Source organism: Homo sapiens, chromosome 5 (genome assembly GCF_000001405.40).
Source record: "Homo sapiens chromosome 5, GRCh38.p14 Primary Assembly".
NCBI lineage: Eukaryota > Metazoa > Chordata > Mammalia > Primates > Hominidae > Homo > Homo sapiens.
Genome location: NC_000005.10, coordinates 658,404 through 683,709, shown reverse-complemented (window position 1 = coordinate 683,709; position 25,306 = coordinate 658,404). Strand labels below are relative to the sequence as shown.

At 61.2% G+C, this 25,306-nt stretch overlaps 2 protein-coding genes across 13 annotated transcripts in view, besides 14 other annotated features; one reads left to right on the top strand and one right to left on the bottom strand.

The window, feature by feature from the left end:
• Window positions 1-23,848, top strand: part of TPPP (tubulin polymerization promoting protein) — a 40,866-nt gene extending 17,018 nt beyond the window's left edge. For 3 of the 4 annotated variants that reach the window (XM_024454346.1, NM_007030.3, XM_047416674.1), the window contains 3 exons: window positions 5,646-5,960; window positions 17,587-17,740; window positions 18,414-23,848. In XM_024454346.1, coding sequence (XP_024310114.1) covers window positions 5,650-5,960; window positions 17,587-17,740; window positions 18,414-18,608 — 660 coding nt within the window. In that variant the 5' untranslated portion in view covers window positions 5,646-5,649 and the 3' untranslated portion in view covers window positions 18,609-23,848. Of the gene's footprint in view, window positions 1-3,767; window positions 4,399-5,645; window positions 5,961-17,586; window positions 17,741-18,413 lie in introns of those variants that run through there. The other variant, XM_017008993.2, reaches the window with a different exon arrangement.
• Window positions 1,765-1,934: an enhancer, noted in NCBI's record as "experimental_86835 CRE fragment used in MPRA reporter constructs". NCBI's record gives its function as "activates a minimal promoter by MPRAs in K562 erythroleukemia cells, with activity observed for the non-introgressed 5:681976 variant allele {active_cell/tissue: K562}" and the evidence as "EXISTENCE:reporter gene assay evidence [ECO:0000049][PMID:34662402]".
• Window positions 6,973-7,142: an enhancer, noted in NCBI's record as "experimental_86831 CRE fragment used in MPRA reporter constructs". NCBI's record gives its function as "activates a minimal promoter by MPRAs in K562 erythroleukemia cells, with activity observed for the introgressed 5:676768 variant allele {active_cell/tissue: K562}" and the evidence as "EXISTENCE:reporter gene assay evidence [ECO:0000049][PMID:34662402]".
• CEP72 (centrosomal protein 72) overlaps window positions 7,094-25,306 on the bottom strand; it is a 64,277-nt gene continuing 46,064 nt past the window's right edge. For 6 of the 9 annotated variants that reach the window (XM_047417363.1, XM_047417364.1, XM_005248322.4 and 3 more), the window contains 3 exons: window positions 18,385-20,294; window positions 17,611-17,769; window positions 7,094-16,846 (listed from right to left, as the gene is read on the bottom strand). The gene's annotated coding sequence lies outside the window, so the exon portion shown is untranslated. The remainder of the gene's footprint in view (window positions 16,847-17,610; window positions 17,770-18,384; window positions 20,295-25,306) is intronic. The other 3 variants (XM_047417365.1, XM_011514063.2, NR_164122.1) reach the window with 2 other exon arrangements.
• Window positions 7,195-7,364: an enhancer, noted in NCBI's record as "experimental_86827 CRE fragment used in MPRA reporter constructs". NCBI's record gives its function as "activates a minimal promoter by MPRAs in K562 erythroleukemia cells, with activity observed for both the introgressed and non-introgressed 5:676546 variant alleles {active_cell/tissue: K562}" and the evidence as "EXISTENCE:reporter gene assay evidence [ECO:0000049][PMID:34662402]".
• Window positions 7,195-7,487: a biological region, named in NCBI's record as "Neanderthal introgressed variant-containing enhancers experimental_86823 and experimental_86827".
• Window positions 7,318-7,487: an enhancer, noted in NCBI's record as "experimental_86823 CRE fragment used in MPRA reporter constructs". NCBI's record gives its function as "activates a minimal promoter by MPRAs in K562 erythroleukemia cells, with activity observed for both the introgressed and non-introgressed 5:676423 variant alleles {active_cell/tissue: K562}" and the evidence as "EXISTENCE:reporter gene assay evidence [ECO:0000049][PMID:34662402]".
• Window positions 9,600-9,769: an enhancer, noted in NCBI's record as "experimental_86819 CRE fragment used in MPRA reporter constructs". NCBI's record gives its function as "activates a minimal promoter by MPRAs in K562 erythroleukemia cells, with activity observed for the introgressed 5:674141 variant allele {active_cell/tissue: K562}" and the evidence as "EXISTENCE:reporter gene assay evidence [ECO:0000049][PMID:34662402]".
• Window positions 9,735-10,304: an enhancer, noted in NCBI's record as "H3K4me1 hESC enhancer chr5:673521-674090 (GRCh37/hg19 assembly coordinates)". NCBI's record gives its function as "activates a minimal SCP1, AML or CMV promoter by ChIP-STARR-seq in primed H9 embryonic stem cells {active_cell/tissue: H9 hESC(primed)}" and the evidence as "EXISTENCE:reporter gene assay evidence [ECO:0000049][PMID:30033119]".
• Window positions 11,148-11,317: an enhancer, noted in NCBI's record as "experimental_86811 CRE fragment used in MPRA reporter constructs". NCBI's record gives its function as "activates a minimal promoter by MPRAs in K562 erythroleukemia cells, with activity observed for both the introgressed and non-introgressed 5:672593 variant alleles {active_cell/tissue: K562}" and the evidence as "EXISTENCE:reporter gene assay evidence [ECO:0000049][PMID:34662402]".
• Window positions 11,915-12,084: an enhancer, noted in NCBI's record as "experimental_86807 CRE fragment used in MPRA reporter constructs". NCBI's record gives its function as "activates a minimal promoter by MPRAs in K562 erythroleukemia cells, with activity observed for both the introgressed and non-introgressed 5:671826 variant alleles {active_cell/tissue: K562}" and the evidence as "EXISTENCE:reporter gene assay evidence [ECO:0000049][PMID:34662402]".
• Window positions 12,447-12,616: an enhancer, noted in NCBI's record as "experimental_86803 CRE fragment used in MPRA reporter constructs". NCBI's record gives its function as "activates a minimal promoter by MPRAs in K562 erythroleukemia cells, with activity observed for both the introgressed and non-introgressed 5:671294 variant alleles {active_cell/tissue: K562}" and the evidence as "EXISTENCE:reporter gene assay evidence [ECO:0000049][PMID:34662402]".
• Window positions 13,905-14,659: an enhancer, noted in NCBI's record as "H3K4me1 hESC enhancer chr5:669166-669920 (GRCh37/hg19 assembly coordinates)". NCBI's record gives its function as "activates a minimal SCP1, AML or CMV promoter by ChIP-STARR-seq in naive H9 embryonic stem cells {active_cell/tissue: H9 hESC(naive)}" and the evidence as "EXISTENCE:reporter gene assay evidence [ECO:0000049][PMID:30033119]".
• Window positions 18,070-18,239: an enhancer, noted in NCBI's record as "experimental_86799 CRE fragment used in MPRA reporter constructs". NCBI's record gives its function as "activates a minimal promoter by MPRAs in K562 erythroleukemia cells, with activity observed for both the introgressed and non-introgressed 5:665671 variant alleles {active_cell/tissue: K562}" and the evidence as "EXISTENCE:reporter gene assay evidence [ECO:0000049][PMID:34662402]".
• Window positions 19,657-19,826: an enhancer, noted in NCBI's record as "experimental_86783 CRE fragment used in MPRA reporter constructs". NCBI's record gives its function as "activates a minimal promoter by MPRAs in K562 erythroleukemia cells, with activity observed for both the introgressed and non-introgressed 5:664084 variant alleles {active_cell/tissue: K562}" and the evidence as "EXISTENCE:reporter gene assay evidence [ECO:0000049][PMID:34662402]".
• Window positions 21,128-21,297: an enhancer, noted in NCBI's record as "experimental_86779 CRE fragment used in MPRA reporter constructs". NCBI's record gives its function as "activates a minimal promoter by MPRAs in K562 erythroleukemia cells, with activity observed for the non-introgressed 5:662613 variant allele {active_cell/tissue: K562}" and the evidence as "EXISTENCE:reporter gene assay evidence [ECO:0000049][PMID:34662402]".

Here is a 25,306-nt window from a genome sequence, read left to right as displayed (position 1 = left end):
AGCTTGCAACACAGCGTGCCCTTCACAGCTCCCTGGATGCCAGTGCCCTGAGGGCATGGAAGGAAGGGGTTGGTGAGAGGCGTCTGAGCCAGCATGGCCCCTGCCAGGGGCATCCTGCAGTCACAGCACGTTGGATTCCTGGGCAGTGTCTCCAGGGGTAGAGGGAGCAGCTCCCACCCAGGCCCCAGGCCTCCAAATCACCAGGGAACCCATTGTCATCCCTGAACAGGGAGTTCTCCAGGGCACGAGCATCGGCTCCTGCCAGGCAGAAGCACGCGGGGCTCCTGGGAACCTGAGTTAACAGAAGGTTTGGGTTGAGTGTGTGGCGTGCGTGCCTGATGCTCCCAGCCTGGTCACTTCCCAAGGAATGCTTGCCCTCGGGTTCTGGTGGAATCCAGTCGGCTGCCATCAGAGTGTCTTTCTCCGCAGAGACAGGTTCTCCCTCGGGCTGTGCCTGCATGAGGCCATCGGGTGCGAGGGAGATGGGGAGGGGGCTGCACCCCTTCAAGGATGAGGAGACTGAGGCACAAGCAGCTGTCCTACCATGGGCACTTGCCTGCGAGCGAGCTCTGGGGGTCAGCGGGTGCAGCTGGAGAAGCTGCTGGTGGCTTCTCTAGGGCAGGTGGAGCTGTCAGAGGTCACACCCTGGCCTGGTCCAGCCCAGCACAACCCAGGGGGCCTGCAGGACACTTGTGACCAGGACAGAGGTTCTCAGGGAGGCCAGAGCCTGAGCAGGGCCGAGGGCTGGCTCTGAGGTCTCAGGCCCCAGGGAGGGGTGATGAGCTGAGGGGTGGTAGCTCCCACTGACTCCATGGCTCCTGCCTCCAGCTTTGACCCAGCACTGCTGATGATGTGAGCACAGCCTGTCCACCAGCCTCCTCTGCCAGCAAGGCTCAGCCACCCCACAGCCATCCACATGGAGAGCAGTCGTGTAGGCTCTGTCGGCGCCACCCCCGCGTGGGCGTGGGCAGTGAACAAGGGAGCACCGAGGCTGCTGCTACCTTTAAAACAGCAGCTGGCCCTAGTGAGAGAGACCCCAGGCCCTAGTTACAGGCTCCAGGCCCAAGGGGCAGACCCCTGGCGCTAGTGACAGACCCCAGGTCCTAGTAACAGGCTCCAGGCCCAAGGGGCAGACCCCTGGCCCTAGTGACAGACCCCAGGTCCTAGTAATAGGCTCCAGGCCCAAGGGACAGGTCCTGGCCCTAGTGACTGACAGGCCCCTGGCCATAGTGACAGACCCCAGGCCCTAGTAACAGGCTCCAGGCCCAAGGGGCAGACCCCTGGCCCTAGTGACAGACCCCAGGTCCTAGTAACAGGCTCCAGGCCCAAGGGGCAGACCCCAGGCCCTAGTAACAGGCTCCAGGCCCAAGGGACAGGCCCCGGCCCTAGTGACTGACAGGCCCCTGGTCCTAGTGAGAACCCCCTGGCCCAAGTGCGAGACCCCTGTTCCTAGTGACAGAGCCCAGTCAGTCCTAGTGCCTGGCCCCGCTTACTGATGCCACATGGACACCCGGGTTTCCAGCCCCTGGACAGCTCTGTGATCAGAGGCTGGGGCTGCTGTTTCCCCAGCCCTGTCAATTCTGTTCTGGCAGGTTTTCTGTAAGTTTGGCTTTGGGCAGTCCAGTGTCCAGTCTGAAGGCGTTTCCCAGGAGATTCATTCTGACAAATGGGGCCCAGGTGATTTTCCGTGGGGCCTCTTGGGAACAGGGACAGCCTGTGGGGTTGGGGCCAAGGTGGCCTGCGGTGTCTGGGACGAAGCCCCGCCTAGGTGGCCGAGTCCTTGGAGCTGGTGACACACCTGGGACAGGCATTCCCTGGCCTGCGAGGAGGCTTCGTTCCCTAGGACAGCCACCCTCTGGGGTCTGCCTTTGCCTGCCCCACTCTGAGGTCTGTGGTGCCACCTCTGCCCTCATCTTCTGTCCTTTCCAAGCCTTTTTTGAAGATGCCAGTTGGACAACACAGTCTTGCCCACACCCGTGGGTGAGCCCGTAGGTGCCATCCTCCTGACTCCCTGGGGAGGCGCTGGGGGTGGGTGGGAGTGGGGTGGGCTCAGCCTCCAAGCAGGTCCTGGCCAGGCCCCACTTGTGGTCCCATAGGGTCTGGCCAGGGAAGGGGCATGTGCTGTGAGCAGACACCTGGGTCAGGTCAGGGCTTGGCACGTCCCTCCTACCAGGGAGGTGCCGGCCAGTGGGAGAGGGTGCAGGTGCACATCTGGATGCAAGACACAGGCCTGGGAGTACAGGCACAACTGGGATGGCGGGCACAGGCCTGGGAGTGCTGGGCACATGTGGGATGGTGGGCACAGGCCTGGGAGTGCAGGGTGACCCCCTGGGGGCTCAGGGCACACGCGTGGAGATGGTGGGTACACGCCTGGGAGCTTGTCCTTTGACCCCAGGTGAGCAGTTTGTCTTCCTGGAGTCTCTTCTGCTACACAACCTTCTTTTCCCTCACGGTGAAAGAGCAGAGCCTCTGGGGGAAATGGTGTGAGGGTCTGCACCCAGGGCTCAGGTGTGCTGTGCCCAGAAACTGGGAAAGTGGAGGACACCTGGCCTCTGCCCATCCAAGGAGAAGCAGCTGGCACAGCAGCATGCCATGCTCGGTGGAGAGCGCCAAGGGAGAGGCGCCCACCCAGGCTCGTTGTCCGTCTGACACCTCCATGTTCTCTCAAAATTAAATGTATTCTTATTACCGTCATTGTGGAAACAGCACGTGGGTCTAATGAAGCGATCCAGACAGTGTGGCTCCCATCTCCTCCACTCCTGCTCCGTGTCTGTGGCCCGTGTCCTGCTCCTCCAGACCCAGCAGCAGCCTGGCTGACTTCCCACAGCGGCACGTCGTGCCTAATTCATTGTCATTTTTAGTTTAAAAACCTTTTAAAAAATATTTTGTTAAGCTAATGCATGTTTGAGGTAAAACAAAACTACAAGAACCTAGAACAGTGAAGCTCAGATGGGCTCTGAGGCGAGTCCCCACGTGAGACCCCTCAGCACACACCCCACGCAGAGGCGGGCTTTGGAAGCATTTCTGGCAGCTGGCGTCTGAGGTCGGCACTGCTCCACCCCTTGGTGCAGAAAGGCTGGGGCTGAGTTGGGACGGGTTCCACTTTTCCCTCCGGAACTGCCTGGGCCTGGTTCTCAGCCCTCCCAAGCGCCCGTGGACTCACTCCCGTGTGACGGCCATGGGTTCCTGCATCTACTACTTCTTCTCGGCTGTTGACGGCTGTCACCCTCGTCTTCCTGGGAAGCCCAGTCACCAAGCACCTCCGCAGGGGGTGTGGCCACGTCTCTGAGGTCACACCCACTGCAGGTGGCCTTGCTCCCCTCAGCCTGAGTGGGACAGTGGACGTGGGTATCCAAGTCCCAGCCTGAAGCATTTTTCCTCAGAACGTTTGAAGGCAGTGTCTGTCTTCAGTAGATCCGGCGATGGCCTGACCCCTGTTCCTTTCTGCCCTCTCCCCCACGGCCCCCACCGTGCTCTCATGCGTGCCATCTCATGCTGCTTGCTGTGCTGAGAGGGGCTGAGCCTAGCACAGGTGGTGCCTGCCCAGCAGGGGCGCAGGGGCCGCGGGCCGGACCGTTCTCACGCGTCGTGACTCCCACCCGTCCGCATCTCTGCTCACGCACATTCTCTTCCGCCAGGTCTGAAATCGCCTGCTGGCCTCCCTCTGACCTGCCTCAGTTTCTCCTCTTCACTCCTCGCTGCCTGATGTGTCATTGCTTATTTGTTTATCACTTGTCCCAACTGAAGGCCTCATGAGGGCAGGACGTTTTATGTCCCGCTCAGCCCTCCAAGGCCAACCTCCAAGCTTATCAAAACCTCATGCAAAGCACGTGCTGATGGGCTGGGAAGTCCTGCGTGAGCCCTGAAGGTGGCTCTGAGGGGCTTCCCTCATCCCTTTGCTCCCAGGCGGGCCCCACGGGGTGCAGGTTCTCAGATGACTCTCTGAGGTGTGTGAATAAGGGTCTCTGTTCAGGCGCGTCCCCACAGGAGATGAGACCACAGAACGCAGCCCTGAGTTTGAAGCATCCCAGAAGGTTCTTTCTCTCTGACCCGCACACCCACCACTGTTCTGGGTGCTCACAAAACCCACCATTGCTTCTGGTAATTTCTCAGCTGCTCCTCCTGTCCAGCGACCCCTGCTGCAGAGGCCCAGGGGAAACACAGACCAGGCCTGTGAGAAGCTCCTGTTTCAGACAAAGAAATGGTGTCAGCGATAAAACTGGAAACTGTTCCCAGCTCGACACCTGACCTGGCCCTTCCACCCCCAGGATCCTGCCCCCAGGCGGCCCTTCCACCCCCAGGATCCTGCCCCCACGCGGCCCAGCCCCCACCAGGATCCTGCCCCTGCATCCTCCGCTGGGTTGGCATCTGCATTTTTGGTGCCTTCCAGGGAAAGGGGTGAGTGGGTGGGGCCTGAGGCCCTTAAGGTCCTCAGTGGAGGGAGTGCCCCTGGATTTTTTTCTGGCTGTTTTGGGGGAATTTGTGGGATCTCAGGGTCAGCAGCGGCCACACTCAGGACCCCACGATTACAGAGCCACACTTTGGCCATGACTGGCGCTGAGAACTCCAGATCTGAGAGGGCTTCGTGAGTCCCAGGGTTGGGACACCTACCTGTGTCCTCGGCACGGACCCTCCCACCGGCTCTTGTGTCTGTGGGCAGAGGCCATGTTCAGCTCTCAGTGCAGTGCTGACGGCCCACCTGGTGTCCAGGCCCCTTTGGGAAGCAGCTTTCATGCCCTGAGTCCAGCACCTCAGCCTTGAGTCCTTCAGGGCCTGACTGGGTCTTACCGAAGCCCATGCATGGTAGGGAGGTGGCCTCGGCAGCCCTGCCCTGTGGCGTAGCCCTGCGTCCCCAAGCCCTGCCTGGGTGGCACCCCTCAGTCTTCTCAACCCCATGGCCCAGCCGCCTACTCTGGGGGCGGGCGCCTTGCAAAGTCCAGAGGGCGTCCCTGCGCCCTGACACCGGTGCCCCCACCACTGCCTCAGCCCTGCACACTGGCAGTCCCCTCCCCTGGCCGGGGCCAGGCCCAGGGCTCCTGGGAAGAGCATCCTGAGGCGCCCCCAGGGCCACCACGCACCCTCCCCAGCCTAAAGCTCCATCTAAGGTCAGAGGCTCTGCAGTGGGGAGGGAGCGGCTGTCGCACGACTGCTGTGGACCCTCCCAGAGGAAGGCAGCACGTCACAGACCCTGGGGAGTGCGTGATCCCGAGGTGTCCTCCAGAGCTGCAGAGCGGGCGTCCACAGGAGGGACAGTGGAACTGCGGCGGGGAGGGGACCCGGAATAGGCTCTGATGCTGCCAGTCACACACTGAGCCTCCTAGGCCTGGAGCCCCTGGCACCCAGCTCAGCTCCCACCCTGGGCTCTGCGTGCTGCTGGCTTTATTTGGCTTAGGGGGTCCTTGGCCCAATGATGGCAGTGGGCAAGGCCTCGCTTGGCTCCACTCTGCCCGGGGCTGGACATGCGTGCCTGCGGGGCAGCTGGCTCCAAGGGTCTGAGGGGCCTCACGCCCAGCCCCAGGAGGGCCTGCCCATCTCAGCCCTCGCCACGTCCTGGTGCTCATTGGTACGGCGGGGTTTCCTGGGCTGCACCCGGCTCAGCTGGGACATGGCCCGGGTGACACCTTTCTCCTCTCCTTCCTCCATAGCAACATGGCTGACAAGGCCAAGCCTGCCAAAGCTGCCAACAGGACGCCCCCCAAGTCCCCGGGGGACCCCTCGAAGGACCGGGCAGCCAAGAGGCTGTCGCTGGAATCGGAGGGTGCTGGTGAGGGGGCAGCCGCATCCCCTGAGCTCAGTGCCCTGGAGGAGGCCTTCCGGCGCTTTGCCGTGCACGGGGACGCCAGGGCCACCGGGAGGGAGATGCACGGCAAGAACTGGTCGAAGCTGTGCAAGGACTGCCAGGTGATCGACGGCAGGAACGTGACCGTCACTGACGTGGACATCGTCTTCAGCAAGATCAAGTGAGTGCGCTGGGCTCACGGGCCGAGGGACCTGACTTACGGGGGTCTGCGGCCCTGAGCCCCTGGGTGGGTTCTGTGGGGAGCGGGCCATGGGGAGTGGAGGGGGTTGTGCTTCAAGACCCCGCCCTTCTCAGAAGCAGCCCTGACATGGGAGCCTGAACGTGCCATCTGGGCCCCCAGGGAGCAGGGGTCCGGGCATTGCCGGACTTCTCGGTGCCGAGGCCTGAGTGGCAGCCCTGGCTCCTCTCAGCCCCGTGGGTGTGTAGGGTTTCGGCATGGGAGGTGGCCTATGAGGGGATGTCTGGCCTCAGAGCAGACTCGGGGTGAATGCTGCTCCCCGGAGTCAGGGAGCTGTGACTGGGATCACTGGGCTTCCCCAGGAGTGGGGGCAGTGGCTGCCTGGAGCCTGGAGGGGCAGGTGGCTGCTGGCGGGCAGAGCTCCTGACCCTCTGTGGGCTGGCTCAGCGGCTGAGTCTCAGAGGTTGGATGCTTGTGTCCCCATGCATGGAGCTGGCCATTCGGGTGTCCCCCAGCCCCTCCCAAAGCCTTTGTGCTGCTGTATTTCTGCCCCAGGATTCCCACGGGCGGCAAAATGGCAAAGGGCACCAAGGAGGCGGCTCCGGCCACCACCTTGAAACCGCATCGTGCCGTTTGCTTTTTCTGCGTCGTGTGCACGTGTGCGCGTTTCTGTGTGCACGTGTGTGCGTTTCCGCGTCGTGTGTGCACGTGTGCGCGTTTCTGCGTGTGCACGTGTGCGCGTTTCTGCGTCGTGTGTGCGTTTCTGTGTGCACGTGTGCGCGTTTCTGCGTCGTGTGCGCGCGTGCGTTTCTGCGTCGTGTATGCGCGCGTGCGCGTTTCTGCGTCGTGTGTGCATGTTTCTGCGTCGTGTGTGCGCGTTTCTGTGTCGTGTGTGCACGTGTGCGCATGTGTGCATGTGTTTCTGCATGTGCACGTGCGTTTCTGTGTCATGTGTGCACACGTCTGTTGCCGTGTCACGCATTGTCTGTTTTCTCCTGGATGAATGCTGGGAAGCACACTGAGGCACCCTCACACGCCCCAGCACATTTCACCTCATGTCCCGACACCCCACCATGATCGCACCCGAGAAAAGCAGCGGTTCTCCCTGAGCCCCGTCCTGTCCGCCTGTGTGGCAATGGCTTTATTTCGGTGGTTTGCACCTGCGTCCTCCTGTGGCCGATGTATTTCATTCCTACATTGCCGCAAACTCATCACCTCTTTCATCTCAGAGCTCCTGCACCTTCCCCCTCTGCGGCCTTGGCTTTGCAAGGGGCCGGGCCGTGGGTCAGATGCCCCTGTGTGGAAGGCTGTGGGGCCCACCTCTGCGGCGCCAGCGCCCCATCTACCAGCTCTGGGTGGGCGCCGTGACCTTTGCAGCTGTTCCGTCTCTGCTGTGCTCCGTGGCGATGTCACATGTGTCTCCCGGGTCACACATCCCCTGGGTCTTGGGTGTCTCCTGGGTCGTGCATGTTCCTAGACTGCGTGTCCTGCTGAGCTTCCTGTTGTGTACGGCGCATCTGAGTGCATCCGAGGGCATTTGGGGTTTGGAAAGTTATGCCAGAAAAGCCATGAAACTGCTCAGAAGGATGCCTGAACCCGGACCCTCTCTCCAGCTGACTGCCTTGCAGGCTCCCCCAGCTCTAGGGGACGGCAGAGGCAACCAGGGCCAGCGAGTCCTGTTCGTCTTCCTGACAGCTCCCAGCCTCAGTCCCAGAGAAGCTGGAGGGGAGGCTCCATCCAGGGCCCCGGGTGCGAGCTGGTCTCATCCTTGACCCTGTCCAGTCCCAGTGGCCCCGCCAACCTCCTCTGTGGCTTCCCAGCCTCAGTGTCCTCATGGGCTCAGCCACTGGCCGGTGTGAGAGGAGGCTGTGGCTGGCCCCTCTGTGTAGGTAGTCATGCAACCTTGTGCTCCCCGGCCTCGGAAAGGGCCATCATTTGCCAACACCTTAGCGGTTGGAGCCCACACTAACCCAGGACCACTCATCCCTGGGGCCCCTTGAGACCAGGAAGGCACAAGGAGCCTGCCAGAGCAAGGGGACCAGCAGGGGCCCAACAAGGGCTGGGGCTCAGCCCTCGAGGGTCCGTCCAACAGCCTGCACCTCTGGCACTGCACTCCCGGCCACACTGTACCCCCCATGCTGCACCCCTGGCCACACCGCACCCCCAGCCACACTGCACCCCCGGCCACACGGCATCCCCGGCCACACTGCACCCCTGGTCACACTGCAGCCCCGGCCACAATGTACCCCTGGCCACACTGCACCCCCTGTGCTGCACCCCAGCCACACTGCACCCACCGTGCTGCACCCCTGGCCACACTGCACCCCTGGCCACACTGCACCCTCTGCGCTGCACCCCCGGCCACACTGCACACCCCCACACTGCACCCCCAGCCACACTGCACCCCCGGCCACACTGTACCTCCCACGCTGCACCCCTGGCCACACTGAACCCCCTGGGCTGCACCCCCGGCCACACTGTACCCCCTGCACTGCACCCCCAGCCACACTGCACCCCCGGCTACACTGAACCCCTGGCCACACCGTACCCTCCATGTTGCATTCTCAGCCACACTGCACCCCTGGCCACACTGCACCCCTGGCCACACTGTACCCCCCGTGCTGCACCCCTGACCACACTGAACCCCCCATGCTGCACCCCTGGCCACACTGCACCCCCAGCCATACTGTACCCCCCTCACTGCTCCCCCGGCCACACTGTGCCCCCCTCACTGCTCCCCCGGCCACAGATCCTTTGTGGACTGACTCTCAGGGCTGCACCTCCCTCAGGACTGTGGCTGAAGCAACTGGCGCCTGACTCTGCAGTACAGGCCTTGCTTGTGGGCTCTTTGGCAAGGGGCAGCTCCCACAGGCTCGCTGGAGCTCCCACATCATCCACAGGGCTTATGTCAGCCGCTGCCTGGAGGACAGACCAGCCCACTGTCCCCTGCTGGAAACCTGCAGCCTCTGCCTGGAGGACAGACCAGCCTGCCATCCCCTGCTGGAAACCTGCAGCCTCCTGCAGCAGCGGGCCATGCGGTGTGGGCCTGTGTAGATGGCCCCAGCCAGCTGCTGGCAGGTCCTGGTGACCAGGGCCGCTCTGGTGGGTCACCAGCCATGGGCAGGCAGCAGTGACCTGGGCTGTGCCCGGGAGGTCAGGGGCCAGAGCCTCTGGCACAGACAGTGCCCTTGTCCTGAGCCCAGAACTCACTCTGCCAAGGGGACGTGTCCCGGGCACTCGGACCGGGAGAGGGAAACTGGGTCGGCTATATTTAGCCCACGCAGAAGCAGGTGGGGTTCGCAGTGTGGCCGCCAGGTCCAGAGCCTGCGTGGGCAAGGGCAGGGCAGCTCCTCCCCTTGGCTGCCAGGGCCCCTGTGCCCCCCAGTGCTCCTCCTCCCCCTCAGGTGTCCTTGTTTGGAGGGGACCCAGCCCCGTGCTCCTGGGCCCTGGCAGCTGCTCCTCAGCAGGCTCGGGCGTGTGGACACATCTGGGACGAGTCCCTGGGTGCCCTCTGTGCCGCCCAATGTGTGTTCCAGGATACACAGGAGCAGACCCGGGGCAAAGCGGTGTGGAGATGGTGCTTGTGGGTGAAGCTCCTAGAAGGGCTGGGCGGGAGGTAGGAAGAGCCTGTCCAGGGGCCGTCAGCCCTGCAGGGCCGGCCCCATGTGCACAGCCTTGGCGCTGGCCCGGACACACCAAGTGCAGTGCCGGCTGTGATTCCTTCTGCAGAAAGTTGCTTTCAAACTATGGCGCATGTGTGCATGCACATGGCCGCATGTGCACACACACGCCTGCACACACATGCAGAACTCTCCCTGCGGTGGGTGGGGCTGGGTGGCTGTGGCTCATTTGGAGAATGATGGGAGCCCTGCCTGCTTGTGGGGGTGCTGGCACCCCAGGAGGCCGGAGGAGCCCCAGCTGGTCTGGGCCTGTTCCCAGAGGCAGGGCTGGAGCTGCTCAGGCGCTTGGGGGGCTAAAGCTTGGCCCCCTGCTCCAGCACATTCACCTCCCCAGTGTGGGGCCGGGGACCAGCCTTGGGGTGTGCCAGCCTTGGCTGACCATGAGGGTCAAGGTCTGGGGGAGCAGACAGCTGTGGCCCAAGCCCAGCGAGGGGTTGAGGCTGAGACCCGGTCCTGGGCAGCCTGGTCGGCAGGCTGGGCACCGTGAGTGGGCGCCGTGTGGGAGATTGTCCTGCGGGCAGCAGCTCAGGTGGCCAGGACTGGGACTCCGGCCTGAGGGGAGGCCAAGGGATTCTGACCTCCCCCCCTCCCCATTCACCTGCAGCCATGGACCCCTGTGACCCTGGCCCCCCAGGGCTGCCCCCACCTCCTCCTCTCTCCCACCCTCAAACTGTCCTTCCCTCCTGCAGCTTGGACTCCCCTCGGGGGGTCCCTGTGATCCTGGCACGGGGTCCTGACCTCCCAGGTGTACAGCAGCAAGGGGCCTAAAAACTCACACCCTTGTCTCAGGAAGAGAGAGGAGCAGGGCCACCACGAGGCGTTGGGGACACTAGAGATTTTCCTTCGATTTCCGGGGAAAGCAAGGGGTGGTGGCGGCGGGCCTGTGGGAGTTGCTTTTGTTTTGCATTTTGGGGAGGGGGTGCCCACTGTCACTTGTGGGAGCCTCTGCCTCCCTCAGGAGCTTGGGGACCGTGAGGAAGTGGCCTTCGGTACTGCAGAAAGCTGCTGACTCTGACAGGACTTGTGGAGAAAAAGTCTACCGATTTCTGTTTTCAGGGCAGGTTGCCATGGCTCCACCGGCGTGGCGCCAGCTCGGGGTATCTGCGAGCCTTTGTTTAGTCCTCGTTGCCATGGCAGCGCTTGTTTGTTTTGATGTTACTATGTGTTAAATCTTAAACAAATTTCTTGCAGCCTTACGCCAGGTTTTTGTTGAAGCCTACTGTTAACCCAGACAATGACTCCCTCCTGCAAAGAGCGTGCGGTGGCAGCTTTAAAATATTAATGGAGGCATAGCGTGCACAGGCGGGACCGGACCACGGGCGGTGGGAGTGGGGCCCGGTAGAGCCATGGACAGCGAATCTCCCAGCGCCTCCTCGAGCCTGGGGAGGGGCCCATGCCATGGGTGCCTCAGGACCCCTGGGGTCAGGCTCAGCTGCTGCCTCCCCAACTGCACCAAACACCACCAGCCTCTGGGCGAGGGTCTGCCAGCCTTGCTCACTGGCCCCCTATGGGTCCATCTAGCTCAGGTGGGGGCACCCAGCCGATGAGGCAGAGGAAGGAGGGCTGGGCTGCGGTCTCAGCTGGCTGGGAGCCCTGGCCTCCCCCAGGACCCACGCTTGTGTGCTGGGTGTGGTGTATTTTCCCAAGTAAATGCACTGACGTTTCCTATAGACACCTGGGTGGATACTGGGTGGTGGCTTGGCTTGGGGGTTAGACTGATACCTGGACGCTGGTTAGAAGGAAGCCAGGGCCAGTGGGAGACTGAGAACAGCAGGGCCAGGCTCCCTGGGGTCTGCGGTTGCCCCGAGCGTGGAGGGCTGCTGAGCCTGGTACACCCCCCCGGCCAGCCGGCACTGGGGTCTGTGGTCACCCCAAGTGTGGAGGGCCGGTAGGACACTTTGTCCTAAAGTCTTCGGACTGTTCCCAGTACGGAAGCCAACCCAACCACCTCCCAGGAGCAGGACCCAGGTTTGGAGAGAATCCAGGTCACAGTGTGTTTGGAGGGCAGCCGCCACAGGGCAAGTGAGGTCCTCAGAGCACTGTGTGTGACGTCCTCCTGTCTGTCCATCCCAGAAAAGCAGGTGTCAGCTTCCCTGGAAGGGGCCAGGAGCCTCAGGGCTGCATTGCTCCCCTCCCCCTCCCCCGTGGTACCCAGCCCGGGGGAAGGGTGGGCTGCACTCCCCACACCCAACCCTGTCCCTCCATTGCTGTGGGTGCCACCCTGTCCCGGGCTTGCACTCGGCGGCTCTGGAGCCCTGGGGCCAGTTCTGTCTTTGGGGAGCCTCTAGTGGCCACGCCTGGCAGGGCAGGATGAACGTGGCTTCCGCAGAGTGGAGCCCCTGCGGGGGGACCCTTGGCCATGGACGTCTGTGGCTGAGGGTTCAGGAGCTTGTGGCCTCACAGTCAAGGCCTGTGGCTCCTGTACCCTGCAGGCCGGGCAGCACCAGCAATCCCCAGAGCACTGTGCGGCGACAGGCACCCGTCTCCTGCGCTTGGCCAGTGGTGGGCGTGGCCTTGGCTGTCCACTTTGCCCCATGAGCCTGACCAGGCAACACAGGTCATTTGAGAAGGTGATCTCCAAACAAACAGCCAGAAACTGACTTCAGGTGCACAGACCAAAGCCCTGCCCAGGCCGAGACTGGGGTGGATGGAGGCAGCCGAGCCCCTGGGGCCCCCTAGAGAAGGTCGGGCCCCTCAGATCTGCCCGGGGTCCCTCTGGGCCCCAAGTCCACGTCCCACCAAGGGCCACCTCTTCCTAGTGATGTCCACAGGGCGGTGACTACACACGCCCCACCCCCGCCCCTCCCCAGGAAAACGAAAAGGCCGGCAGCAACGCAAAATTAATTAGCAGCAAGCGCAGGGTGTGCGCCCAGAGGGAGACAGTGCGCTGATCCCAGGCGGCCCCTCAGGCAGGGGGGAGCCTTCGGTAGCCAGACCTCCGGAGCTCAGGCAGCCCCCCGACCGGCTGTGTGGGGGCTTCATGGTGGGTGTGCCTGGGGTTAGAGCTGGTGCAGCAATGGGAGGGCCCTGGCCCTCAGCCCGCCCTGGGGCCTGAGCTGCCGTGGCCCAGTGGACGTTGCCATCCATCCTCTGAGCCAAGTAGGGTGCAGGAAGGGCTCCGGTTTCCTGAGATGAGGGGAGAAGCCCTCTCAGGTGGCCAGACATCACCTCACCTGCCCCCAGGTGCTCAGCTGCTGGTGGAGTCACTTATGAGGGGAGAATAGGCAGGGCCTGGAGGGCTTGCCACCGACCTCTGTCGGCCCCGGGAAACGTTGCTCTAGGTCCTCTGTATCTTGCTGGGGCTTGCGGGAGGCAGGGGCGGCCAACAGGCATGGGGAACCCCAAGGCTGGGTCCTGCTGGAACGGGACCACTGGACCCTCCTGGAGCAGTGAGAACTCGGAGCGACGTGCAGGATGGCGATGCCAGACAGGGCTCCCCTAAGGCCGCGTCCCTACCAGGTAGGAACCTCCCCAGAAGCTCCCCCTCCCCCCGTGGGGCCCAGCAGCCAGGGAGTCCTTCCCAGCCTCCTCAGGTCTCAGGGGCTAATGGAAGATCCCAGAGGTTGGTGCCCTGGGGGAGCCGCAGCCCCTCTCTCTCAGACTCGCCTAAGTACAGGGAGAGGCTGTTTCCCCAGAGATTCCCCTCCACAGCCCCCAGCTTCCCACCTGTGGCAGCCTCTGGACAGGGCACTCCAGCCACAGCAGCTGCAGGCCCAGAGAGCCCAGGGGAGCTGGTAGCTGTCACCTCGCCCGCCGGCCCCCGCCCCTCAGAGAGGGCACCATGGGAGGGCATTCCTGATTCACAAGGGTGCTGGATGCACAGTCCCGAGCCCAGCGGGGCCTGTGACGTCCGCCCCGGAGGAACAGGCCTCAGTCCTCGGAGGGCTGTCCTGGCCTGAGCCCAGCTCCTGGAGGCCCCAGGCCGGGTCCCAGTGTCCCTGAGAGACTGAACCAGGCCCAGAGGCCAGGGGACTCAGAGCCTGGGAAGCAAGTCCAGGCCCCGCAGGGCATCGTGTATGAGCAGCGGCTGCGTCCTGCTGGGCCGGCTTTGGGGCAGGGCGCCGGGCTGGGGAGAGCATGGGCAATGAGGATGCCGAGCTCCACACTCGGAGGCTCCTCCAGCACCCTGGTCTCTGGAGGACAGGCCCACTCTATGTCAGGAGAGCCGGGCAGCCAGACTGAGTGTCTCTGGGGAAGAGGCAGGCACCGCTGTCCTAGAACTCCTGAGGACTGCCCCAGGCGGGGGGCACCCGGGTCTCCTGGGGAGAGCTCCCCGCCCGTGTGGGGCAGAGACCCGGGCGCCCTTTCCCCGAGACACTCGGGGAGCGCGCAGAGCAGGTGTCCGGATCTGAATGTCGCCTCTGATGGGGGAGCCCCTCAGCCATCCCCCTCCCGCCGAGTGACTCATGCTGGTGGTGCCTGGCTCCGAGGCCGTCAGAAAGGGCTGCGTGCCTCAGCACTGGTCACCAGGCTGGCAGTCAGGCCTGGCGTCCGCATGTCAGCTTGGGCAGGGTGGGAATAGAAGACAGGAGAGCCTTTGACGGCCCAGGACAGACAGAGGCCCCAAGGGCCCCAGAGAGTCAACACCCCCACAGGGCCCAATGGGCACTGTCAGTTCCAGGCACTGTGGGCTGCCTGGGGTGGCCTGGCTCTTCTAGCACCACAGGGAACGTGCGGGTGTCCACGCCGAGCGCGTCAAGGGGCTAAATCCACCCCCAACACCGCGGACCCCCACGCCACAGAGCTGCCCAGGGCACCTCCGGCTCACCGGGCTCACCAGCGCCCCCTGGGGGATGCTGCTGGACAACAGCGCCCTATGGCCGGCGGGTCTGGAATGTGCCCTGCGTGGCTGCCCTCAGCAGTCCAGGCCCCGCCCTGGGGCTCTGTCTCCCCAAAGCCCCCTCCGGACACAGCGAGGCCTCCGCTCCCCTCCCTGGGACCCCATGAGGCGTGAGGGTCTGAGCTGTGGGACCCCGAGCACTTGGTGTGTTTCTCAGCGCGATTTCTTCTTTGGCTCAGCGCTGTTGATGGTGTCTGTTGTGTCTTTAGGACACGCGTGTAAAGTGTATGGGAACCCTCAGGTGCTGTTTAAACACAGCATCCGCCTTGGGGTCTGGGAATCACCCAGCGGCACCTCCGTGCCTGGCTCCAAGCCTGGCCACTTGGCACCCACCGCGTTGGGTGCGTATCCTGGGCTTGTTCTCGAGGGGTGGGGGTGCTGTCCACGTGCGCACACATCACAGCACTGTGGTCTGGCCGCTGCTGAAGGGCACTGGATTGTTTGGGGTTTGGTGACTACGAGCAGAACAGTGGTAAACATTTGCGTTTATGTGTGAGCCTCTGTTTTCATTTCTCTTGAGCAAGGACCCAGGAACGGGACTGCTGGGCCACCTTTGGCTGTGATGAGAAGCTGTCCACAGTGGCTCTGCCGCGTTGCTCGGCCGGGTGTGGACGAGGCCCCCACCCCGCGGCCTGCTCAGCTCGAGGTGCCGGCAGTTTATTTGATTGTCTGAGCCCCCTGGAGAGTGTGCAGGGGCCTCGCTGTGGTTTCCATCTGCACTTCCCTGACGGCGCCCACGCGGCCCCCTCTCCGTGTGCTTGTCCGCACTTCCCTGACGGCGCCCACGCGGCCCCCTCTCTGTGTGCTTGTCGGTACTTCCCTGACGAGGCCCACGCGGACCCCTCTCCAGTGTGCTTGTCCGCACTTCCCTGACGGCGCCCACACGGCCCCCTCTCTGTGTGCTTGTCGGTACTTCCCTGACGGCGCCCACGCGGACCCCTCTCCGTGTGCTTGTCCGCACTTCCCTGACGGCGCCCACACGGCCCCCTCTCTGTGTGCTTGTCGGTACTTCCCTGACGGCGCCCACGCGGACCCCTCTCCGTGTGCTTGTCGGTACTTCCCTGACGGGGCCCACGCGGACCCCTCTCCGTGTGCTTGTCGGTACTTCCCTGATGGGGCCCACGCGGACCCCTCTCCAGTGTGCTTGTCGGTACTTCCCTGACGGCGCCCACACGGCCCCCTCTCTGTGTGCTTGTCGGTACTTCCCTGACGGCGCCCACACGGCCCCCTCTCTGTGTGCTTGTCCGCACTTCCCTGACGGCGCCCACACGGCCCCCTCTCTGTGTGCTTGTCGGTACTTCCCTGACGGCGCCCACACGGCCCCCTCTCTGTGTGCTTGTCGGTACTTCCCTGACGGCGCCCACGCGGACCCCTCTCCGTGTGCTTGTCTGTACTTCCCTGATGGGGCCCACGCGGACCCCTCTCCGTGTGCTTGTCTGCATGCACGTGTCTTCTCTGGTGGTGTCTGCTTCAAATATTCTGCCCGTCTTTTCACATGGATTTTTTTTCTTACTGCTGAGTTTTAAGGTTCCTTTGTGTATCTCAGAGACAAGTCCTTTCTCAGGCATGTCTCCTAGTCTGTGGCTTGTCTTCTCATTCCCTTAACGGTGTCTTCTGAGAGCAGAGTTTCGAACGTTTTGATGAAGTCTAGTTCATCCATTTTTTCCACTATAGGCCATGTTTTGTTGCCATTTCTAAGAAATCTTCGCCTAACCCCAGGTCACAGAGATCTTCTCTTTGGTGTTCTTCTAGAAGTTTTAGTTTCATAATTAGGACCGTCATCTATTTTGAGTTAGTTTTGTATATAGTGTGCAGTATAGACCAAAGTGCATTTTAATTTGCACAGGGATCACCAGTTGCTCCAGCTCCACTTGTGGAAGAAACAGTCCTTTCTCTCTGGCTTGCCTCTGCACCTGTAGACATCGGGGGGGCAGCATGCATGTGGCTGAGCCAGACTCCCCCTGGGCTGCGGGGCTGGCCGCGTGCCCGTGCCCACGTCGCTGCCACTTTGCAGTCAAGCCTCGATGAGCTTTGGAGTTGGGTAGTCAGTCTTCTGACTCTGTTCTCATTTCTTGAAATCGTTTTGGCTATTCTAGGCCCTCTGCTCACTGACTTCTGGAAAGGCTTGCTGGGGTTTTATGGGTCATTTGTCCCCTGACTCTTGGTCACTGTGGATTCTGCAGCTGGGAGTGCCCTCGGAATGCTTGGCCTGCTGGGTGCAGCCTTTCTCGCGCTGTCCAGAGGCTTCCCTGGTGAAATGCAGGTGCCTTTTGCAGAGCTGAGCCTCATCCACAGGATCTCTTGTTTTAAACACTGAAAAACCCCACTTTGGGTTAGTTGTGGTAGATCTGGTCAGAGGAGAAAAATGTTTTCTAATTAGAATTATTATATAAAAACCAAGAGTCAGTTTAGAACCCTCTAAAATTGCCTGAATGGCCTGTGGTGGGAGGATGTTGTAAGGCGTGGACTGTGTTTAGATGTGGCGTGTTGTGTGACCAGAAGCTTCTCATGGCACCTCCGGCCCACCGGGCTCTGCACCTCTGAGGCCAGAGCAGTGCAAGGGCACAGCGGGGCCGCCTGGCGGGTTTTGGAGCCAGGGCATCTGAGGCGTGGGCCTGCGCCCATGCTGCCAAGTGTCCGGGGGCGGCAGCCCCTCCTAACCATGTTCCTGTGTGGGGGACACCTCCACCTAGGACCCCAACACACACAGGCAGAGCCGGGGCCCCAGCAGGTCCTAGGACCCCCAGCTCCCGGCGCAGCTGGGCGGGGCTGTGGTGGCCCCGGGAGGAGGAGGTGGGCTCCGCTGCCTAATGGCCTCCGGCACTGCCCCAGCAGAGTGCAGACCCGCACACACCCTGTGTCAGAGCGGCCTGCAGGGCCGTGTGAGCATCCAGCTTTATAGAGGACCTGCTTCCGCCAAGCTTTCTTCCAAGACAGTTTGGATTTGCAGTGCTACCAGGGCGGCCGCCTGTGGGTGAAGCCTGTGGGCTGCTGGGCCATGGCTGTCCAGCTCTGCTCAGACCCACGCGTGGGGAGGGCAGCCCTGGGCCGGCCCGCGCCCAGCCCTAAGTCGCCTGTGCCCCTGTAGAGGGAAGTCTTGCCGGACCATCACCTTTGAGCAGTTCCAGGAGGCGCTGGAGGAGCTCGCCAAGAAGCGATTCAAAGACAAGAGCAGCGAGGAGGCCGTTCGCGAGGTGCACAGGCTCATCGAGGGCAAGGCGCCCATCATCTCAGGGGTGACGGTGAGCAGGGCGGGGATGGAAGGCGGGGCCTGGAGGGGGTGGGGGCGGGGCCTGGAAGGTGGGTGGTGCCTGGGGGAGGGGTGGTCAGGAGGGACATGGATTGGGGGCGTGACCTGGGGGGGGTCCTGGGAGGCGTGGTCAGGAGGGCGTGGCCTGGTGTGGGGTCTGAGGAGGTGTGGTCAGAAGGGGCATGAATGGGGCATAGCCTGGAGGGTGAGGCCTGGGGAGGCGTGGTCAGGAAGGGCATGGACTGGGAGTTGGCCTGGGAGGGGGTGGGTGGGTCCTGGGAGGCATGGCCAGGTCGGCGTGGCCTGGGGGGGTCCTGGGGAGGCTTGGTCTGAAGGGGCATGGATTGGGGGGGCATAGCCTGGAGGGTGGGGCCTGGCTGTTCTGACAGCCCCTTCCCTCTGAGGGTGCAGGTGGTGGGGTCCCCAACTACATAAACACCAGGTGGACCTGGGCAATTGTTAGGGTTGTGGCACCCCGCAGGCCCAAGGCTGCCCCAGGGTCAGGAGAGGTAAAAATAAGAATTAAAAGGGGCATAAATCCCAGGGTTTATGCCCCTTGCCCAGTGCCCCACCGCTGGGAGACCTGCCCAGGGCACAGCCATTTCACTTGCTGGCCTCACCTGGCTCGCAACTCACCTGCCCCCTTCCTCCTGCTCCTCTTGCAGAAAGCCATCTCGTCGCCCACAGTGTCGAGGCTCACGGACACCACCAAGTTCACGGGCTCCCACAAGGAGCGCTTCGACCCCTCTGGCAAGGGCAAGGGCAAGGCTGGCCGCGTGGATCTGGTGGACGAGTCAGGCTATGTGTCCGGCTACAAGCACGCAGGCACCTACGACCAGAAGGTGCAAGGGGGCAAGTAGCCCCCGCTCCATGCCTCGCGGCACTGCCGGTGTCCCCAGAGCAGGGACTCTGTCACCTCGCACTTCATTACATTCCTGTACTAACTGGGGCAGAACTCAGACGGGTGCCCCAGAGGGGGCTGGGGGGCGGCCAGGCCCAGGCCTCCCTCCTGCCCCTCCTCCTACCGGATGCCCCCAGCACTCCCCTCTCAAACCAGGTTTGGGCCCCAGTTCGCTGACCCTCCTAATACACCTGCCTCGTCCTCAGCCATTTCCAAAGTGTCTCGCGGATCACACCACACTGGGCACGTGGTTTGCAGGTCAAAGGGGCGTTTTAAAGCAGCTGGCTGTCATGGCAACAGGAGGCTGTGCTGACCTCCTGAGCGGCAGACACCTTCCAGGAGCCCTGAGGGTGGCAGGAGCTAACCCCAACCAGCAGGCAACTAACACGGAATTGGCCCCACACCGGACGTGGGAGGTGTCTGTGGGGCCCGAGGCCTGTCCTGTGTGCAGCGGACACCACGGGGCCTTCCTGCTTTCCTGGGCAGAGGGCAGAGTGAGGCCACCTGGCGGGGGTGCTGGGCGCCTGGCACATGTGTGGGGAAGCCGGTCACATGGACACACCTGTGCACACATGCCTACAGGCCAGCTCTGTGCCAAGGGCAACCTAGGTAAAACGAAAGCCGTCAGGGGCAGTGGGCGGCTTCCCGGCTGACCACAGTGGCTTGGACTGTGAGGGTAGAGTAGGCTCGCTTTGCTTTCCTGAGAAGATGCGGTGGCTGCCTATGTTCTCAGAGCGGGTCTGGGAAGATTCAGAATGTCCGGTCCCTGTGGTGTTGCCAGGCAAGAGACACGAAGTGCCGAGACACTCCTCGCCTCACCGCGTGACAGAGCCTCTGCCCGGCCCTCCCGTTCGCCCGTCCTCACTAGCTGCACCCTGTTTGCTCGCAGACCTCCCATTGCCACAGCCCAAGCACCTTCTTCAACTCTCCCAAAATGGCTCAGCCTAACCTCTCCTGGCCAATCCCCCCCGCCGGAGAGCAGGACACTAGGGAGGACCCCCAGTCCTGCAGTGTCTGTGGGGGTTTCTCTGCCAGCAGGGGGCTGAGCAGAGCCCATCCAGGACACTCCACACTGCCAGGACACACCCAGGCGGCCCGCCCTTGCCTGTCTGCACCTGGGGAGAAGCCGGCGCTCCTGCTCCCTCCTGGGGAGGCTGACGGGTGTGGCCACCCGCTGTCACAATGGCACACTGCCACTGTCCCTTGGCACGCACACAGCCACAGCCACACGTGTGACCTGCTGGGCCGTGGTTCTGGAGTCTACCTGCGGATGAGCCTGCGGCAGTCCTGGGGAAACTTTTCCAGAGCCTGTTAGCCCGTGGCTACGGTCAGGCTCTGGCCAGGGCAGAGGGCTGCCCAGGGCCAGGCTCACAGTACAGGAGGGTGGCGAGGCCCCTCCCTCACTGGCACGCATGAGCACCACCCGCCTCCCCGACTCCCAAGAGTGCACCTGCTGCGGCCACAGCTCCGTGGAAGGACTCCCCCTACCTGAGCAGAGCAGAAGCCCCAGGGCGGAGCTCCCAGCCAGCATGGTCCGCTGAGGGCTGGGGGGCGGTCTCCGAGGCCCCTCAACAGAGAAGCCTCCACCTGAGGATGGGGAGGACCTGGCAGGCAGCTTCCACGGCAGGGCTGGGAAGTTCAGTGCCTGGAAATAAAGAGCAAGGAAAAATGGACCTCAGGCTTCGTGGCTCCTTTAGGATGTCACCTCACCGGCCTGGGGAAGGCGGGGGGTGCCCAAGCCCAGCCCTGTGCCCCCGCTGAACCTGGCTGGACCGCGTGTGAAAGGCAGAACTAACGTGCGGAAACATTTGAAAACAACTCTGAATGTGCGGTTCGGAATCACCCGATCACAGACGAGCGGTCACCGGAATCGCCCGGTCACAGACGAGCAGTCATCGGACTCACCCGATCACAGACGAGCGGTCACCGGAATCGCCCGATCACAGACGAGCGGCCACCGGAATCGCCCAATCACAGACAAGCAGTCATCGGAATCACCCGATCACAGACGAGCAGTCATCGGACTCACCCGATCACAGACGAGCGGTCACCAGACTCGCCCGATCACAGACGAGCAGTCATCGGAATCACCCGATCACAGACGAGCAGTCATCGGACTCACCCGATCACAGACGAGCGGTCACCAGAATCGCCCGATCACAGACGAGCAGTCATCGGAATCACCCGATCACAGACGAGTGGCCACCGGAATCACCCGATAACAGCCCATCACAACTCCAAAGCCCTTGTGTTGAAAAGGCCGAGGACGAGTGGTCACCAAACAGGGTGGCTCCCCAGGTCCCGAAGCCTGAGACCCGGAAGGCCCTGGCACCCTTACACCCTCGGACTCCTGCCCTCCTCGGCCTCCCTGGCCCCAGCGCGGCTCCACCCTGGGCTGCGTCTCCTGGTCACAGGCTGCGTTTCTCCTTTCTGTCCGTGGGCAGCCCAGTCCCCACAGTCACGGCCAAGCCACGCAGAACGAACATGACTCCAGAGGACCTCGCCCTGGAGCTGAGCCTGGCGCCGGGTCAGGACGGAGGGAAGGGCGGGTTGGGGTCCGCGGGTCCTCACACCGCACGGCAGGCACAGAGGCTCGCCAGGCCCTGATCCGGTCTGTGGGGACGAGGGACACTGAGGAGAGGTGCTGGGCACCAGGACGCTGCCTCCTGGTCCCTGGTTGGCCTCAGACAAGCACGGCCTCGAGAAAAGAGCCAAGCGCATCGGGAGCACACCAGAAACCGGCCCTGAGCACGAGAAGAGCCTCCGCCCGGCCCGGGCACCACCCGACCTCGCAGGGAGCAGGCCCTGTCACCGACGGGTCACCTCGCCCACACGGCCAGCACCGACTCACCACAGCCCTTCCCAGACCTGGCTGGAGTGGCCGGAGCGGCGGGGCTCATGGCTCCCATCTTGGCCCCTGGAGGTGAGCTCATTCACAGAAGTGGTCCCTTCACTCTGAGAGAGAAAATCGTGGCGTGCATCCCAAACCCTAGGCCACGCCTGTGGGTTTCGTGAATGAGATCGAGGCTGCTGTGGCACCCTGCCCGTCCTGGCCTGGAGCACCCTGGGATCCTGGAGGGAGAGGCCCCACGCCCCCACTCTCCCTCCACACTTCCAGGGTTGGTGCCCACGAGTTAGAGGCACGCCCTCCCCCAGCGGCCCTCAGGCTTTTCTCAGACATGCGGGAGCCAGGAGAGCACCCTTCTCCACTCAGCTCCAAAGCGAATCTTTGAAAACACCCACTCGGCTCCCATCTCTGTCACCTAGCCAGGAGGGGTAGCAAAAATAAAGTCACGAGGACATAGTGGTCACCACTGTCAGTTACAACTTGTCTGTGGAATCCGTAATTGCATCTGTGTGCCGCCTCCGAACACAGAACATTGTTTGGACGGCAGCCCCACTGCACATAACAGACCCGTGCATCTTCCTCAGTCAGTTTCTGAATATTGTGAATTCAGGCAGGTGTGTGTTCTCTTCTGCATGTTTTTATGCACTGCCAATTAGCTTCTACTAACCACGGTTCAACAGAAAATAAATGTGTATTTGTGAATAACAAACTGCACAACCTGCAAACCAGGAGAGAGGGACAGGTTCTGTCAGGGGTGACACCAGGACACAGGGACAGGTTCTGTCGGGGGTGACACCAGGACACAGGGACAGGTTCTGTCATGGGTGACACGAGGACACAGGGACAGGTTCTATCATGGGTGACACCAGGAGAGAGGGACAGGTTCTGTTGGGGGTGACAAGAGGAGACAGGGACAGGTTCTGTCGGGGGTGACACCAGGAGAGAGGGACAGGTTCTGTCAGGGGTGACACCAGGAGAGAGGGACAGGTTCTGTTGGGGGTGACACCAGGACACAGGAATAGGTTCTGTCGGGAGGACAGTGCTGATCGTGTCTCAGCATCAGGAAAGGAGAAAGGCAGAGGGAGAGCGCTGAGAAGACTGTTCACGCCAGAGTGCTTATTTATTTTTAATTTACTGCTATAGGATAAGCAACCAGGTAGTGTTCCTAACAATTAGCGTTACCAAAATTAAAGTTCAAATTATATGTTTAAAATATTGTAGAAGATATATATTTATACTGGACTACTTTTACACCTTCTAATATCCTGTCCAAGTTTGGGCGCAGATGGTGGAGTTGGGCTGGCATCATGTCCTGTGGCCGCCCCACTTGCCTGTTGGTGCCACTCCATCCCGGGCCCCAGGGATGCCAGCTCAGGGCTGACCACAGCAGCCCTGCGTGGGCATCACCTCCTACCCCAGCCCCCATCCTGGGCTGCTGCGGCCGCCTGCTTTTGTGAATGGTGTTTTGTTGGCACAGGGCCTGTCCTGTGTTTTCACACAGGCCTGTGGCTCCTGCTGTACAAGTGGAGTGGGGAGGAGTTGAGATGGAGATGCCTTGGCCCTGGACACTTACCTGTCCCTCTACTGGCCCAGCTCATCTCCTCCTGTGGGCAATCACGCGTGCACTGGCCACCCTCCCACCCCACAGCACACACCACGAGGGGATGGCACAGGGGGAAGATGAGGCTGGACCGTGATGTTATCAATAGGCTAGAACGTCCTTCAAACACTGAACCTGCATCTTTCCTCCTCTTACTACTGAACACTTTGTGAGCTCTGGTGGTCCAGGGTGCAGCGTTTGTCCCTGGGCATGTGATGGGGAGTCCTGGGCACATCGAGATGCTTTACTTCTTTCTTTCGACCTCTTAAAAAACTAAACCAAGCCAAACCACAAAGGAAATCTGCACAACTTAAGAGAAACTTGAAAGGGATCGTGTAACTACTAGTTTGTACTAAGTTTTTTTCAAGAAAGGGAAACAAATTTATATATATATATATATATATATATGTGCAATATATTTTTACACTGTGTGATTAACATTAGGGAGTACTGAGTGCATCACTTTATCAGTGTGACGGGTGATGTCCACGTCATGGCTGTTCTGACTCTGAAAGCCACTTCTGCTGATGTCTAAACCGCACTCACCGCGGACGTCCGCGGGGTGGGGTGGCCCTGCTGTTCCTCCTGCAGGTGAGAGGTGTGGTGTTGCCTGTTGGACTTGCTGTTGAGCCTGGCTTGCAAACCTGTAGTGAAACAGCTCGTGTCTGTGTGCACACTGCTCCTGTGTCTGCTGTCGTTAACATTGTGTGTCAAGTTGGTAAAGTGACAAATAAAGGTGTTAAAACATGGATTTCTCTGTTCCTCAGAGCACACGTGTCTGTAACAGGTGATAACAGGGGATAGGTACTGGAGGGGCCCCAGGTGGGGAGTGTGCTGAGTGCCTCCACTGGGCTGAAGCTCACAGGGCCAAGGCCCTTGTGTCGCCTTTTCCCGAGGGAGTCTCTCGCTTCCTCATCTAGACAGGAGGACCGTGAAGGAGGAGCAGGCGGACCAGCCATCTGTCAGGTGTGAGTCCTGCTCTAGCACTGGTGTAGCCCTGGGTGGGGTCTAGATTCAAGGGGAATGGACATGAACACTGTGAACACCACCAGAGCCCCCAAAACAGGACAATGTCATCACAGGCTGCTATAAAAAAAATGCCAACCTGAGATACTAGCCCAGCGAAACAGTTTTCCAAAATGAGGATACAATAAAGGCATTTTTGGACAATGAAAAGAGAATTTGCCACCAGCAGACATTTAAAGAAATTCTAAATGCAGAAAGCAAAGGTGATCTCAAATGGCATGTCTGGTTTGTGAAGAAAGTGGAGCAAAGAGAATAAATAGGTCAATAACTCCAAATTAACAGTGGCTATATCAATACTTTGTGAGATTAAAATGTTTCATAAAAATACTTGGGAACCCCCACAGGTGAGCAGAACAGGAGCATGGAGAGGGACGCGCGCCTCGCGCTCCAGGAACCAACCCCAGAGGTGGGTGAGAGCATGGACTAAACGCACACATGCCATAAGCATGGGACAGAAGCAGAGTACAGTCTCCAAACGAGCAGAGGGACATGCGGGATGACAGGAGATCATCCAAAAGTGGCAAAAGTGAAGAGGGAAAAAACCATGAATAGAACAAACAGCACAAAATGAGATGGCAGATTTAAACTAATGAGATGGTGGATCAATCAGCTTCGCTGAGGCCGGGCGCGGTGGCTCACACCTGTAGTCCCAGCACTTTGGGAGGCCGAGGCGGGCAGATCACAAGGTCAGGAGATTGAGACCATCCTGGCTAACACAGTGAAACCCTGTCTCTGCTAAAAATACAAAAAATTAGCCAGGCGTGGTGGCGGGCGCCTGTAGTCCCAGCTACTCGGGAGGCTGAGGCAGGAGAATGGCGTGAACCCGGGAGGCGGAGCTTGCAGTGAGCCGAGATCACGCCACTGCACTCCAGCCTGGGCAATAGAGCGAGACTCCATCTCAAAAAAAAAAAAAAAAAAAAAAAAAAAAAAAAAAAAAAAAATCAGCTTTGCTGATAAAACAAGAGAAAGAAACACAGAACAGGGAAATTGATAAAATAATATTTTAACCCATATTTATTTGTAATTTCAGCATGGCTAATGATAGATCAGATCAGAAATTGAAAAGAAAATGGAGGCAAAGGGTGTTTCTTTGAAAGGACTGAAGAGAAAGTTCAAATAACGAATATGAAGAATGGCCAAGAATGGGCTGAGTCCCCGGGAGGCAGATGCTGAGGTGGCCTTT